The sequence below is a fragment of the Homo sapiens genome, chromosome 13, assembly GCF_000001405.40.
Source record: "Homo sapiens chromosome 13, GRCh38.p14 Primary Assembly".
Classification (NCBI taxonomy): domain Eukaryota; kingdom Metazoa; phylum Chordata; class Mammalia; order Primates; family Hominidae; genus Homo; species Homo sapiens.
The window spans coordinates 98649321-98664984 of NC_000013.11; the positions used below are offsets into that span (position 1 = coordinate 98649321).

At 47.9% G+C, this 15664-nt stretch overlaps 1 annotated feature.

Moving 5' to 3' along the window:
• Window positions 4049-4168: an enhancer, noted in NCBI's record as "active region_7921". NCBI's record gives its function as "activates an Ori minimal core promoter by ATAC-STARR-seq in GM12878 lymphoblastoid cells {active_cell/tissue: GM12878}" and the evidence as "EXISTENCE:reporter gene assay evidence [ECO:0000049][PMID:35858748]".

Consider the following 15664-nt stretch of genomic DNA (forward strand, 5'->3'; position numbering starts at 1 on the left):
CAGTCCTTCCATCTCAGACCCCTAAAGGGCTGTAATCACACGTGTGAGCCATCATACCTAGCCCAGTTTGTTTTTTAAATTTTCCTTAATGTTGTTTATGCAGTAATAACATCATCATTGACAACAACAATCATACTTCTTCTTCTTTTTTTTTCTTCGAGATGGAGTTTCGTTTTGTCGCCAGGCTGGAGTGCAGTGGCGCAATCTCAGCTCATTGCAACTTCCGCCTCCCGGATTCAAGCGATTCTCCTGTCTCAGCCTCCTGAGTAGCTGGGATTACAGGTGAGCATCACCATGCCCAGCTAATTTTTGTATTTTTAGTAGAGACAGGGTTTCACCATGTTGGCCAGGCTGGTCTTGAACTCCTGACCTCGTGATCTGCCTGCCTCGGCCTCCCAAAGTGCTGGGATTATAGGCATGAGCCACCGCGCCCAGCCAACAATCACACTTCTTAAGATGCTGGTGGTGAACTTGGACTTTGAGAACTTTGCTTTGAGGACTTTAAAAGAGGAGTCTTCTGTTTGACTTGGCATGGGTAAACATAATAGATGCAAGTAGCCTCGTGGTAGGGGACAGGAGGGTATCTCTGAAATTGTCCAGAATCTACAAATGGGCAGATTTGTGCACATAGCATATTTAATTATTTGTTGCACAAACAAGTGTTTGAGATGCAGCGGCAGGGGATTGCCTAAGCCTCTGTTACAGCATTTACCTGCTGGCTCCAACCCTCCCCTCGCTCCAGTCTTACTTTCTGCACCCACTTGAAAGCAGAGGCCCTGTGTCCTCTTCTTATTGCTCTGAAAGTGGAGGGCAGCTTGGTATCCGTAGTTTTCATCCATGGGTGGTTTTGCCCCGCAGAAGGGATATTTATCAATGTCTGAAGACATTTTTCCTTGACATAAACGAAGCGTCTAGTGTCAAGGCCAGGGGTGCTACTAAACAGCCTCCAATGCACAGGGTAGCCCACATAGCCAAGAATTATGCAGCCCCAAGTGTCAATAGTGCCAAGGTTGAGAAACCATACTTCAGAGATAAGAGAAGCAAAGACAGGGTGGAGGCTTCTACCCTGGTCCCCTGGGGCAGGCCATTGTTTGCAAAGGGCACAGAGAGTGAGCAGGGGCAGGGGCTGGTCCTGCAGCTCTGCCCCAGTGATGTCATCGAGCCCTGGAACTCGGTGCCCTTCCTGGAAGGGCTTCGCCTAGATGGAGACTGACCTGACAGGAATCGGCTCCACCTGTGGACGTACGGAGTTGGACTTTGTCCCAAAACTGTGCCTGTGACATACATTCCTACCTTCACAAGGCTCCTTCATGCCAATCGCCCTGTCTATAAAGCCTGTTTCTCACTGCAGCAAGCTTCCTGCAAAGCCAGTTTCTCAAGCTTGCCATCCCGAGGGGTGTGGTGGCATAGCTCGGATGCTTCCGAGCCTCCTCTTCCTTGATTACATGAATTCCAAGACATGCAAGGATGTTCTAGACAAGGAGGCCAAGCACTTGGTGAAGGGGAAACTGACAGCAGCAAGGACTGAGAAGAGAAGCTTTGAGAAATGATCATAAAATAGTCAGGTTCTGATGAGGAAGTGCAACTAGGATTGGCACGAACTCCATGCAAAGGATGATGATGGTGCAATGTTTTTGTGAGTTGAGTTCTGAGAGTTGGCTTGGAGCATTGAGAAGGGAAAGGTGAAGAGAAAGGAATTGGTCAGAAACACAGAAATCAGAAAGGAAAGGGGTTCACAAGCAGGATAAACAGTATCTGTCTCTCGATAGTGGAGAATGGGAACTTATTAGCTGACCATGGCTTGGTAAAAATATTTCTTCCAACAGCTGGCTTCTTCTATTTTAATTTCATATTCACAGCACAACTCCAATCCGAATGTATTTTTTTTTCCAAGGTTATTGACCTGCTAAAATGAAGATGTGACTGTTTTCACTGTAAATGTGTGAGTGAGCATGTTGGTTTTGTTGAGTCTTGCCCATGGGAAAGGACTTGAATAAGTCTGAATGGTGGGATCTCTAACGCTGCGAATTCTGGAAACTGAGCTGGAGGCCTTTGGCAACCTCCATAGCAACAAGATGAAGACCCACATTGCTTCTGGAAGAGTCTTTCAGAAACCAGGTATTAAAACTGGTTTTCAGCAGTCATGGGTCTCTGTGCACAGATTTGCATACCAGAGCGGTGCTCCTGAAATATATAGTCTTGTCCAATCCTTCATGGTCGACATCGCTGATGGAGAGAGGAGATAAGGTTTCAGAAACACCTGATTGTTTGTCTCTCCCTCTCCCCTAGAAGGATTTGGTCCCCCCCATTAGTCCAGCTGAGGACATAATCATATTAGTTAAGCAAGACAGTAGGGTACCTGGTTAGGAAAAAGGGAGGGCCTTTTAAGTCATAGGAATGGGTCAGGTAGATGGGCCCCAGCAGATCAGTAGACATAAAAGTTTTTTCCAGGGTAAAACAGATTACAAGAGATTCTCAAAAGCAGACTCTCTGGAGCGATTGTCAAGGCTCATGTGGTAAGCAGGGTGGGGCAGACCCCTGTGAAACAAAGGAGGCTGTGTCTCCTCAACTCCCGTGCCCTTGGCACCCGCCTCACTCAAGTCCCTTCCCTGGTGGTTTGGGCCTTCTTCTTCCAGCTGCTCCAACCACTGGCTTCTGGAATGTTTTCAATCTTCAGTCTCCCGCTCCAGACTTTGACTTTGCTCGGTGGACTGTACCTGCTCAGATCTTGGTCCCATTTTCCACCCCGGAGCCCCTACTTGGCTTAATCACACTCAGACTTGCCTGGAGAGCTTAAACAGATTCAATGTAAAGGTTCCAATGGAGGGAAATGACTATGCGTCCCCTTGATGCAATGTTGTATTTCTTCTGCCAGATCCCATACCCTTCATCTGAGATCAACAAAACCAGAGGAAGAGTTTGAGCTGGGTCAGCTAGGAAAATACCACCTGCACTGTGACATTATTAAGATGTACGGAAGCTCTGTAAAGGCCAAATTACAGTGTGGAGCCCATGTGGCAACAAGGAAAGATGCTTATGGTGAAATGGTTCAGTGAAATAGGACTAGAATGTATATGATGCCGAGATTACAGCCCTGTACAAGAAGATTTCTCAAAGGCAATGCTCTCAGAAGTATCTAGGTCTCCAGTCATAGGGCTGCTGGATCAGAGCTTTTGGGGCTAGAGTCCAGGAATCTGAACTTTAAATGAGTTTTCCAGGTGGTTCTTCTGCACTCTATAGAATGAGGTCAGCTATGTAAAGAACTGTGTGCTCAAGGCATCATATTGCAGCAAAGAATTGTGGCCAGATTCAGTGGGACTACTGATGGATTTTTCTTAACCCACAATTTTCAAATTTTATCTGTACAAATAAAGTATTTTACTTTTATAATAAAACAAAATACATGAAAATAAAAACAAAAATAAATAAAAAGTTAAAAACATATCAATAAAAAGGATAGATAAATTAGATGAAGAAGGGCCTGGAGACAGGGACAAAGGTAGGCAGCCACTGATTGGCCCAGGTGAGAGAGGATGAAGACAGGACCTTTGCAGTGCAGGTGTAGACAGACAGGTCCTTTCGACCCAGACTTAGGAAGGTTTGATGCCAGCTCTGGGTTGCTGGCTGTTAACTTGGGGTGAGACATTGAGCTGTAGGATGTTGTTGTGAAGTCCAAATGTAATAATTGATGTTCTTGAGCACTTTCCATGGGCCAGTCCCTGTTCTGAGTGCTTCACATATCATGTGATCATCACAGAAGCTCTTTGGTGTAGATACTATCATTATCCCACTTTTTCAGATGAGAAAATTGAGAAACAGAGAGGGTAAGTAACTTGCCCAATGACACTCAGCTAGGAAGTGGCAGAGCTGGGAAGTAGGTATGGACGTACACTGTGATGTGTACAGCTCCATAGAATGTTAGGGGGCAGCATTTTTCTGTCTCCTAAACGTGGCAGAGTAATCCCTTTAATTAGAAGGAAACCTTTAGATTCTTCTTAGTGGCTTCACATATTGCTCTGTTTCTAAAGAGTCTTTCTCTCTCTCCCTGTGATCAGCACAACCTGAAATGGAGGCTCTCAAGTGGGAAAATACCATCCCTCCGTGGCAAGTATTGTTGAGGGAAGCCCAGTCTCTACTGTCAGGCTTCTCACGGTACATCTGCTCTGTGACCTGGAGGTGTTACCTGCACTTCCAGCTCCAGGAACTGGCTCCTTAAGCCAGAGCTTGGGTTCCCGTCAATAGATCTGGGCTCAAGTCACAGCCCTGCCACCTACTGGCCATGGGATTGCCTGCAACATATTTAACGCAGGGGTTTTCAACCAGGCTGCCCTGTCTGGGGATTACCAGGGATTGGGCATTTAAAACCCTCCAGGTGACTCTCGTGCACAGCCGGTGCTGAGAACCTCTGGCTGACCTCTCCAAAGCTTTTTGTTCCTTATGTGTAAAATGGAGGGATCCACTCTTCACCAAGATTTATTCATTGAGCACCTTTGTTTTTTTGGCCATCAGCAAAAGCCCCCAATTTCAGTACTACATATCTCCCATGTAACAGTTTGTGATTAGCCGCAAACTAGACCCAAACCTAGCTGATCCGACTGCTGGCCAGTTCTTCCCCCCATTCCACAGCCCTCCATCAACAGCTATCCCAGCTGATCCGACTGCCGGCCAGCTCTTCCCCCCATTCCACAGCCCTCCATCAACAGATATCCCAGCTGATCCGACTGCCGGCCAGCTCTTCCCCCCATTCCACAGCCCTCCATCAACAGATATCCCAGCTGATCCGACTGCCGGCCAGCTCTTCCCACCATTCCACAGCCCTCCATCAACAGACACCCCACTGATCCGACTGCCGGCCAGCTCTTCCACCATTCCACAGCCCTCCATCAACAGATACCCCACTGATCCGACTGCCGGCCAGCTCTTCCCACCATTCCACAGCCCTCCATCAACAGATATCCCAGCTGATCCGACTGCCGGCCAGCTCTTCCCCCCATTCCACAGCCCTCCATCAACAGATATCCCAGCTGATCCGACTGCCGGCCAGCTCTTCCCCCCATTCCACAGCCCTCCATCAACAGATATCCCAGCTGATCCGACTGCCGGCCAGCTCTTCCACCATTCCACAGCCCTCCATCAATAGATATTTTCCACACATGGTTGTTCTGAGGATCAACCACGAAACTCCAAGTACAGTGCCTGGAGCATGAGTCAGTAGCAGTAATATACTTAATTAACTTGAGATTAGAACATTAGAACTAATTCTAATTTACATCTTTCCAGGTATCTTGGAGCTCAGTACATACATACCTACATACTACACACACACACACACACACACACACACACACACACACGTATATATGAAAAAATAAAGACAAACAGAAATTAAAATACATATAGCCGGGCGCGGTGGCTCACACCTATAATCCCAGCACTTTGGGAGGCTAAGGCAGGCGGATTACCTGAGGTCAGGATTTCGAGACTAGCCTGGCCAACATGGTGAAACCCCATCTCCACTAAAAATACAAAAATTAGCCAGGCGTGGTGGTGGGCGCCTATAATCCCAGCTACTCTGGAGGCTGAGGCACAAGAATTGCTTGAACCCAGGAGGCAGAGGTTGCAGTGAGCAAAGATCGAGCCACGGCATTCCAGCCTGGGCGACAGAGTGAGACTCCATCTTGAAAAAAATAAACAAATAAAATTAGGGCCCTTACCCCTAGTCCTGGATTTCCTGGATCAACTTTTCTCATCCAGGTCTGCGTCAGGTGGTCCTTGGGATCATTACAATGTGGTCTGTTTGCTGGAGTGGAGGAAGATGATGGCTTCCAGTGGAGCATGCGGGCTTGGAAGTGGTGTGGATGCAGGATGGCTTGAGCCATATCCCGTTTGTCTCCCTGAAGGTCCCGTTTCAGGAAATCTTTGACTCTTGTTTTGGGGTATTTGAGTGACTTCCTGATATAGTCCCCAAATTCCAGGGCTGTGGCTCCAGGGGGCCAACTGAGGGCTGTGCATTCTCAGGGTGACAGCCTGAACCACACAGACGTCAGGAAAGCCTTCCTTGAAATCCCTGCGCACTTCCCCTCTCCATATCAGAATCATCTGGAGACTCGTTAAAGCACAAGTGTGGAGGGTTAAAGCAGAGTGTTTGATTCAATACAGCTGTGGCAGTGCCTGAGAAGGCGCATTTCTAAGTTGTTCTCAGAGGCTGCTGATGCTGCTGGTCCAGGGACCACACTTTGAAAACCACTAGACTAGGGAGAGAGCTGGCATCATCACCTGAGTCTTGTGAGGCTGCCTCTTGGGGATTCTAACAGTGACTTTGAGGCCTCTAGGCCTGACCTGGTCCATGAACTCTTTGTTCACGTTGGAGGATAGAAGACCACGGGGAGAAGTAGGAGGAGGAAGTTTGGGCAGATCCACGACCAGGAGTGTAGGAACTCACACTTGAGGCTGGACAGGGAAGTCTAGAGTACAGAGTCTGTTGTTGTTGTTGTTGTTGTTGTTGTTTTAAAGAGGTAGGAGTCTTGGGTGTTTTTTTTTTTTTTTGAGTTGGAGTCTAGCTCTGTTGCCCAGGCTGGAGTGCAGTGGTGTGATCTCGGCTCACTGCAACCTCCACCTTTCAAGTGATTCTCCTGCCTCAGCCTCCCGAGTAGCTGGAATTACAGGCATCCGCCACCAGGCCCAGTTAATTTTTGTGTTTTTAGTAGAGATGGGGTTTCACTGTGTTGGCCAGGCTGGTCTTGAACTTCTGACCTAGTGATCCACCCGCCTCAGCCTCCCAAAGTGCTGGGATTACAAGCGTGGGCCCCTGTGCCGGCTTTTTTTTTTTTTTTTTTTTTTTTTTTAAAGAGGCGGGAGTCTGTCTATGTTGCCCAGGCTGGTCTTGAACTCCTGACCTCGAGCCATGCTCCAGCTTCAGCCTCCCAAGTATCTGGGACTACAGGCATTTGCCGCCATGTTGGCTTAGTTACAGAAGTCGTACACGCTAGGATTGAACATCAAAGTCCAGGGATAAATGCAAGCCTTGAATGCCAAGAAAGTCTTCACAGCAGACAAGGTTCAGAGGCAGCAAAATGTGGGATGGTGATGCCAAATGGGAATCACTGCCATGATGAATCCTCAGGCAGAGAAGGACCTGAAATTCTGTGTGCAAAGGTGGTGAAAAGGGAGGTGGGATCCTGAGCTCATAGGGTAATAGCTAAAGCCAAAGGCAGAGGTGAAAGACCATAGATGCATTCTGATTGGGCCTGGGGCAGAGGAGCCCAGAGCCCTAGGAAGCAACTCTGGCCAAGCCATGTGGAAATATCAGTGTGATAGGCGTATGCTTTTTGCCACAGGAAACTTAAAAATAAGTTTTTGTATGATGCTAACTGAGGCAGGTAATTGACCTTGAGAAACTGCTTTGGTAAAAAATATCTGATGTCAATGGTTTTTGCACGTTTAGATAGTGAGTCCCCAGGCTGGTCTAAGCCAGCCATTGCTGTGAATCTGCTGGTTCTCTTAAGTGTCAACTTCATTCATTTGGAAATCGCATTGTATTCTTCTGCAGTATGGTTAAGAGCAAGTGAGGGCTGGGCTCGGTGGCTCACACCTGTAATCCTAGCACTTTGGGAGGTTGAGGCGGGTGGATCACGAGGTCAGGAGTTTGAGACCAGCTGGCCAATATGGTGAAACCCCGTCTTTACTAAAAATACAAAAATTAGGCTGGGCACAGTGGCTTATGCCTGTAATCCCAGCACTTCGTGAGGCTGAGGCGGGTGGATCACCTAAGGTCAGAAGTTCAAGACCAGCCTGGCCAACATGGTGAAACCCCGTCTCTACTAAAAATACAAAAATTAGCAATGGGTTGTGGCGGGTGCCTGTAATTCCAGGTGCTTGGAAGGCTGAGGCAGGAGAATCGCTTGAACCCCGGAGGTGGAGGTTGCAGTGAGCCGAGATTGCGTCATTGCACTCTAGCCTGGGTGACAAGAGTGAAACTCAATCTCAAAAACAAAAACAAAAACAAAAAACAAAAAATTAGCTGGGCATGGTGGCAAGCAGCTGTAGTCCCAGCTACTCAGGAGGCTGAGCCAGAAGAATCGCTTGAACCCGAGAGGCGGAGGTTGCAGTGAGCCGAGATTGCGCCCCTGCACTCCAGCCTGGACGACAGAGTGAGACTCTGTCTCAAAAACAACAACAACAAAAAAAAAAGAGCAAGTGAGATGCAAGGCTGGGGTTGGGACAGGTAACTGCTTTCCCTGCAGGAAGCAGTGAAGCCCTCGAAGAGTCCTGTGCTTCCCCCAAGCTCTTCATTACTCATTCAGGCTCGCTTGGACATTTCCAGATCAAATGAGGGCACACTGCTTTAAATGAGAATAGGAGTTATTTTTTGTCTAGGAGTTATTTTTTGTTAGGAAAAAAAACTGTACTCTGACTCATCACAATAAAAAACATTTTCAACTTGCTGTTCTTCAACCGGTAAATTATTTTTATCGGAGCATCTTAACATCATTAGGCTAACACATGTGCTCTGAAATTCGCTGGTATCCAGGTCAAAGGAGGTTCACTTCTTTTGCTTGGAGCCTGGGATGAAAAGGACACCAGGATCTGAATGGTTAGCATTCTCCATTGACAAGCATGTTTTAGTTCTGTCTTGCATGTGTTTTCTTCTTAATGGAATTTTAATTGCACTGAAAACTGTGTTGGCTAAAATAAGGCTCAGGAATGCATATGAAGTCGTAAGGTGAGTAAGCGCACAAATGGAAGAGAAAGTGAAATGCGCAAATGTGAGGCTGCCCACGAACCTGAGAACGGCTGAGAGGGCCTCGGAATTATATTGAAAGGTCTTTGGAACACAGAGGGAGTTTGCAAATACTCTCTGCAGTACTCCTCAGAGAGATTTTTGAGAGCATTTTTCCTAATTCAAAAAAGATCCAGAAAGTGAAACTCAGTGTGTTCATTGGGTTAAGTATTCACACGGGCGTTGTTTTGAGAACTTTCTTGGACTAAGCCCACATGACTGTCGTCACCATGCAAGGGAGTGGCTCTTTGTCCATTGTCAGCCAGTCACCATGCAAGGGAGTGGCTCTTTGTCCATTGTCAGCCAGGTTTTAACGACAAGATCACATCTCAACCCCCATGTTGGCATGTGATTCCTTTCTCTTCATCCCAGTCCCTTAATTCTGTCAGGCCTACAAAATTTTTGTGAACGATAACAACAAACACAAAAACAAACAAAGGTCCAGGCGCGGTGGCTCATGCCTGTAATCCCAGCACTTTGGGAGGATGAGGCGGGCAGGTTAACTAAGTTCAGGAGTTCGAGGCCAGCCTGGCCAACATGGTGAAACCCCATCTCTACTAAAAAAAACAAAATACAAAAATTAGCCAGGTGTGGCGGTGGGTGCCTGTAGTCCCAGCTACTCAGGACACTGAGGCATGAGAATCACTTGAACCCGGGAGGCGGAGGTTGCAGTAAGCCTAGATTGCACCACTGCACTCCAGCCTGGGTGACAGAGTGAGACTCTGTCTTAAAACAAAAACTAAAACAAACAAACAAAAACAAAGAATACTGGCGTTGCCAAGGACATTCAGTGTCTAATCCAGTCTCTGATGGTATGGACATTTGGGGCCTGGTTGTTTTTTTACAACCCTAGAACAGCAGTCCCCAACCTTTTTGGCACCAGGGACTGGTTTCGTGGAAGACAATTTTTCCATGGCGGGGATGGTTTTGGGATGAAACTGTTCCACCTCAGATCATCAGGCATTAGATTCTCATAAGGAGCGCTCAACCTAGATCCCTTGCAGGCGCAGTTCATAACAGGGTCCGAGCTCCTATGAGAATCTAGTGTGGTGGCTGATCTGACAGGAGGCGGAGCTCAGGCAGGAACACTCACTGGCCCACCACTCACCTCCTGCCGTGCTGCCCGGTTCCTAACAGGCCACCAACCTGTACCAATCTGCAGCCCGGGCGTTGGGGACCCCTGCCCTAGAACATCCCACATGGCTGAATTTACACCTTCTCAAAATACGGGATAAACCATTTTGGTGAGATAGGAGCCTTTTCTCTAAGACTTTAGTGTTTAGCCTTTCCCTAGCTCTCTCCAACACTTCCACATCAAATGAGGGCACACGGCTTCAAATGAGAAAAGAATTTGACCTCATCTAGGAGTTATTTTTTATAAGGAAAAAACTGTACACTGGCTCATCATAATAAAAAAATATTTTCAACTCGCTGCTCTTCAAGGACAAAAGCAAGGGACATCTCTGAATATTAAAGTTACTCCGTTCCTTGAAGGAAGAGCTGAGAAGGCATAGAGAACTCTACGCTGAGGTCTGATTCACTGTTGCCTTTGTTTGTTTGTTTTTTCTTGAGATAGGATCTGGCTCTGTCACCCAGGCTGGAGCATAGTGGCAGGATCTTGGCTCATTGCAACCTCAACCTCTGGGACCCAGGTGATCCTCCCACCTCAGCCTCCTGGGTAACTGGGACTACAGGCATGTACCAACATGCCCTGCTAATTTTTTGTATTTTTAGTAGAGACAGGGTCTCACCATGTTGCCAGGCTGGTCTTGAACCCTTGGGCTCAAACGATCCTCCTGCCTCAGCCTCACAAAGTGTTGGGATTATAGGCGTGAGCCGGGCCCACTGTTTCTACTGGGGCCCCAATTCAGTCTTTGCCTACAGGTGGTGGTTGGCATGGAGGAGAGGCTTCGTGTTTTGTACCTAATCATTGCTACTACCAGTCATCTGATCCGTCCAGGGGTTGCCAAGGGTGCTACTAATTCTGTGGGGTCCCTAGTGTCTCCTTACTGCCCCAGCCATGCTGCCTGCTGCTCCACCATGGTCAGTTCTGCTGGAGACTTTAATTTGATTTCCCGAGGGTCACTTCCTGTGAAACTCCAACCAGATGCCCACAAGGCTGATGCCTGAAGGCCTGGAGCATTCACGTTGGGCAGTGCCTCCCGAACATCGGAAAACCACCTCAGGCCTCTGTCTCATTATTGGCTCTGGGAAGAGCAGGCTGGAAGGAGGGGCCAGGAAGAGGTGGCAGGAGGGTTGGGCGGGCAGTGGAGGGTTCTAGAGGTGAGAGGGCTCCATGCCACCCTTGGCACACGGATTTACCTCGGCAGCAGGGAGGACATTGCTCTCACCCAGCCTTGACCCTGGAAGGGTCTTCTCTCTTCCTAGGCAAGAGAGGCTGTTTCTTGCATCGGAAGGAATCAACAAAGACCACTCAAAGGAGCACAAGGAAAAGCAATTTATCCAGAGCTTGCCATAGCAGGGGAGCTGGCCACCATCACTGGCATTTGGCAGAGACTCAAAGACAGGCATGGGAATGGGGGAGCTTTACCGCTGACATGAGGGATGGCTTCAGGTGTGCCCTGTTGGAGGCTGTTGCCTGGGGAAGCCAGGGGCAGCTGAATAGCAGTGGGGCAGCCACGTGATTGGTCGGGGGCAAGCTGGCTGATCCTAAGCTAGAAATGGGCACAAACATCAGGGAAGTGGTCAGTTACTAATCGAGTCCTGGCCATTTGGGGCCCACTATTGGAGGGGTTACTGTTTGGCTTCCTGGGCTGGTGGCTGGATGTGGTGGCCTGGGTCCCACTGGTCTGATTCATAGATATCAGGCCACGTCCTGGGCTGGCTGCTACAGCTTTGGGGTCAGAGTTCTATTTTCATGTATGATCTGGCCACGAGCCATCTGTATATTCAGCCTCTCACCTTCATCTTACTGCACAGGGGTCCTAAAGAAGGATAACAGGGCCGGGCGTGGTGGCTTACGCCTGTAATCCCAACATTTTGGGAGGCTGAGGAGGGTGGATCACGAGGTCATGAGATCGTGATCATCTTGGCTAATACGGTGAAACCCCGTCTCTACTAAAAATTACAAAAAATTAGCCGGGCATGGTGGCAGGCGCCTGTAGTCCCAGCTACTCAGGAGGCTGGGGTAGGAGAATTGCTTGAACCTGGGAGGCGGAGGTTGCAATGAGCAGAGATTGTGCCACTGCACTCCAGCCTGGGTGACGAGAGCAAAACTCCATCAAAAAAAAAAAAAAAGGAAGAACGATAACAGAGACTGTGGACCATGAATGGGGAGTGGGCCAGGGAGAAGGGCTTCTTATTCCCCAATCCCAAAGGCCCTGCTGAAGGCAGCTGGCACGCCCATCTAATGGTCTCACCTCTGGAAAGGGAAGGAACGCCAGGTGGGTGTAGACAGAGCACGGCCCTCTCTCACTTTCCTTGGCGGGCGCTGGCCCTGCATGCTGGTATCCTTGCTGCCCTACCCAGCCCTCTCACAATGCTTGGCCCATAAAGGCCGGAGAGGGCCTCTCCCCAGGCTGCCCTCACCTACGTGCCCAGCTCCAGCACACTTTTTCCTTCTCCACCTCTCCTCCGTCCTCCTCTTCTGCCTCCAACGCTCTGTTCTCAGAGTGTGAGGTCTTGGTGGGCATTGCAAACAAGCAGGCATGTGAATGTGCCCAGGTGATCGGCCTCTCTGAAGAAGATGCTGGTTGAAGCTAACACAGCTCGCTCATGATAGCTCCGGGCTGTGTGTCTCAGGGAAAGATGCCCAGGTGATTGGTGTCCTGTGCAATGGGAGGGACGCTTTAATTTAGCTGGCTTGCTGGAGTGAGAGGACAGTGAGCCAGGAGATCTGAAGCCACCCAGAGTGGTGCAATTCATAGGAACCTCGCCACCCACCTGGCCTCTCAGCCTGGAGACCCAATCAAAGCACGTGGGCTGGCAACAGCCCTTCGTGGGTAACTTACGGAACTCTGTTCCTGTAGATTTGGGCTCAATATTTTGATGCCGATAGAGCATGTTCTGCCCACAACACAAAGTCTGTGAGTGAAAAATCGGTGGCTTGGAATCTGGAGAAGAAGCCAGAGCGTGGGGTCTGGCCCCCCTTTGTCTGATTAACAGAGAAGATTTGCATCTCTGGCCTCGGCCCTGACATGAAGTCTGCATGCCTGGTGCTGCACAAAGTGTTGGCGAAATAGAATTAAAGTTTTTAAAAATCCACTCCCAGCCCAGAAAACCTCTCCTGAAAGATAGAGAGGAAGAAGATACTGTTATCATTGAATAAGCATCTAAACCAGAACAAGATGAGCATTGCAGGTGACAGCTAAAGGTGTCATGGCTCTGACATTAGGCAGATTTTACAATGTGGAGTCAGGTGATGCTCTAGGTTCTTCTCCTCCCAGGAAAGTGGGAGACAGGAGGGACGCTCCTGTCCTGGATGATTCCATTGCAAAGAGGGGGCTCCCCCTGGGTCCCCGAGGAAACATTTCTGAGTTGTAAGACTGGCTTATTTAACCATTAAAAAGACTCACATAGGCCAGGCACGGTGGCTCACGCCTGTACTCCTAGCACTTTGGGAGGCCGAGGGGCAGGCGGATCACTTGAGGTTAGAAGTTCAAGACCAGCCTGGCTAACATGGTGAAACCCTGTCTCTACTAAAAATACAAAAATTAGCCGGGTATGGTGGTGCGTGCCTGTAATCCCAGCTACTCGGGAGGCTGAGGCAGAAGAATCGCTTGAACCCAGGAGGCAGAGGTTGCAGTGAGCCAAGATCATGCCACTGCACTCCAGCTTGGGTGACAGAGCAAGATCCCATTTCAAAAAAAAAAAAGAAAAAAAAAAGATTCACATACATTTGAAAAGGATGGAGAAATAACTTCTGGAAGAAAAGGGAAAGGTGGGGCATCCCTTTCTTTTCAGCTGGGAGAATTACACCTTTGTTTTTAATTTGTATTTGCCAGATTTCAGGAATCAGGGACTGGTTCAGAGGGCTGACCCCGGAACCTGCCAGTGATCAAGCCTGGCACTGACATCACCCACGAAAACTAGCAGGAGTGGCGCAGTTTCCCCCTTCAAATGCTCCCTGCAGCCCAGCGCGAGACCTGGGCTGGGGGTCCTCATTCATGCTAGGGAACACTTCTCTGGCCAAGGTGGGGACCTGTGAGGGCTTACATCACCTTTCCTTCTCCCCACAGAGCCTAAACGCCTACCCTCTGTTACAGAAAAGGGGTCCTGATCCAGATCCCAAGAGAGGGTTCTTTTATCTCTCGAAAGAAAGAATGATGGGTGAGTCTGCAGTGCACAGCAAAAATCGTGCCACTGCACTCCAGCCTGGTGACAGAGTGAGACTCCATCTCAAAATAAATAAATAATTAAATAAATAAGAAAGTAAAGTGGTGAAAGAACAGGCTACTCCATAGACAGAGTAGGGCATTCCGGAAAGTAAGAGGAAGAGCGCGTCTGCCCTAGGTACAAGCATGTATATATACGTTGTTTATATATACGTATATATATACATTGTATATATATGCGTATATATACATTGTATATATATGCATATATATACTATGTATATATACATTATATATGCATATATATACAATGTATATATACACACATTGTATGTGTATACATATACACATTGTATGTATATATATATACACACATTGTATGTATATATATACACACACATATGTATATGTGTGTGTATATATGTATACGTGTGTGTGTATATATATGACTAAAAAAAGATGATGGGAAGATGTGCTCTTCTACAAGGGTTTGTGATAAAGGATTAATTTCATTTAATTACTATATTTTGTAAGAATCAATATTATTAACTTTAAAACAAAATTAGGAATGCCTTTGTTTTCCAGATATTGGATATCTGGACATTCCCAAGTCTGGGTCTGTCTAGTAAGTATTATCAATCTGTTCCCTTAACCGTAAACTCTAGAGGCTCAGAATGCCTGACTCTCTGGGAAAACAGCCCAGCAAGCCCCAGCCTCATTTTCCAGCCCTCACTCAAGATGGAGTCGCTGTGGTTCGAATGCCTCTGACACCTCCACAAGTCTCACGTTTCTCTCTGGTCCTGACTCACCAGATACAGTTTCTATAATGGAAAATACGAGCACAACCCATGTCAGGTGGTGAGTCAGAGATGTTCAACTGTGACTAAAGAAGCCTGCTCCACGGGTGGCTCGGGCACTGACACCTACGCAGAGGAGGAACCTGCCAGGGAGTCGCGGCTGCTACACGTTGATGTTCTTTTGTTTCCCTTCCAAGTCATCTTTTCCCAATCTAGTCCTTTCTGGAACTGCAGCCCCTGTCCTCCCTATGGCTTCTGGAGCTCTGAGTGGAGTGGGTGTTCTACTGTTTCTAAAACATTCCCTCAAAGCCTCAGGCATCTATTTGGTGGGTTTCTAACAAAACAATCAAATGTCAAAAAAAAAAGGCAAATAAATCACAAATTCAAATCCTCTGCCTCCAGACAGGTCATTGCCTGATGTTTTCAAGGTGGATAACTGCTGGTCTTCTCTTAAATGAAATATCAACATTGCCACATTCTACCGACCATACATTCATTCACTTGTTGATTCCTTTTAACAAAAATGTATTGATGGCCAACTCTGCATTGGACACTACTCTAGATGGTATGGATTTAGGATAGATTCTGCCTCTGTATGCCCCAACAGACTGAACAAATGTGGCAACCTGTGGGGTTTGAGCCATGCATCCCCAGGGATGCTTAAGTGTTCCTGGCAGTGACCAGGGACCCTTGGGAGTCATTTGCCATGTGGTCTGAATTCTGTATCTCTCATATTCCTGAAAACTGTTCAGTGGAAAGACCGGGAAACCTTTGAAAACCTTGAAAAGCATCTG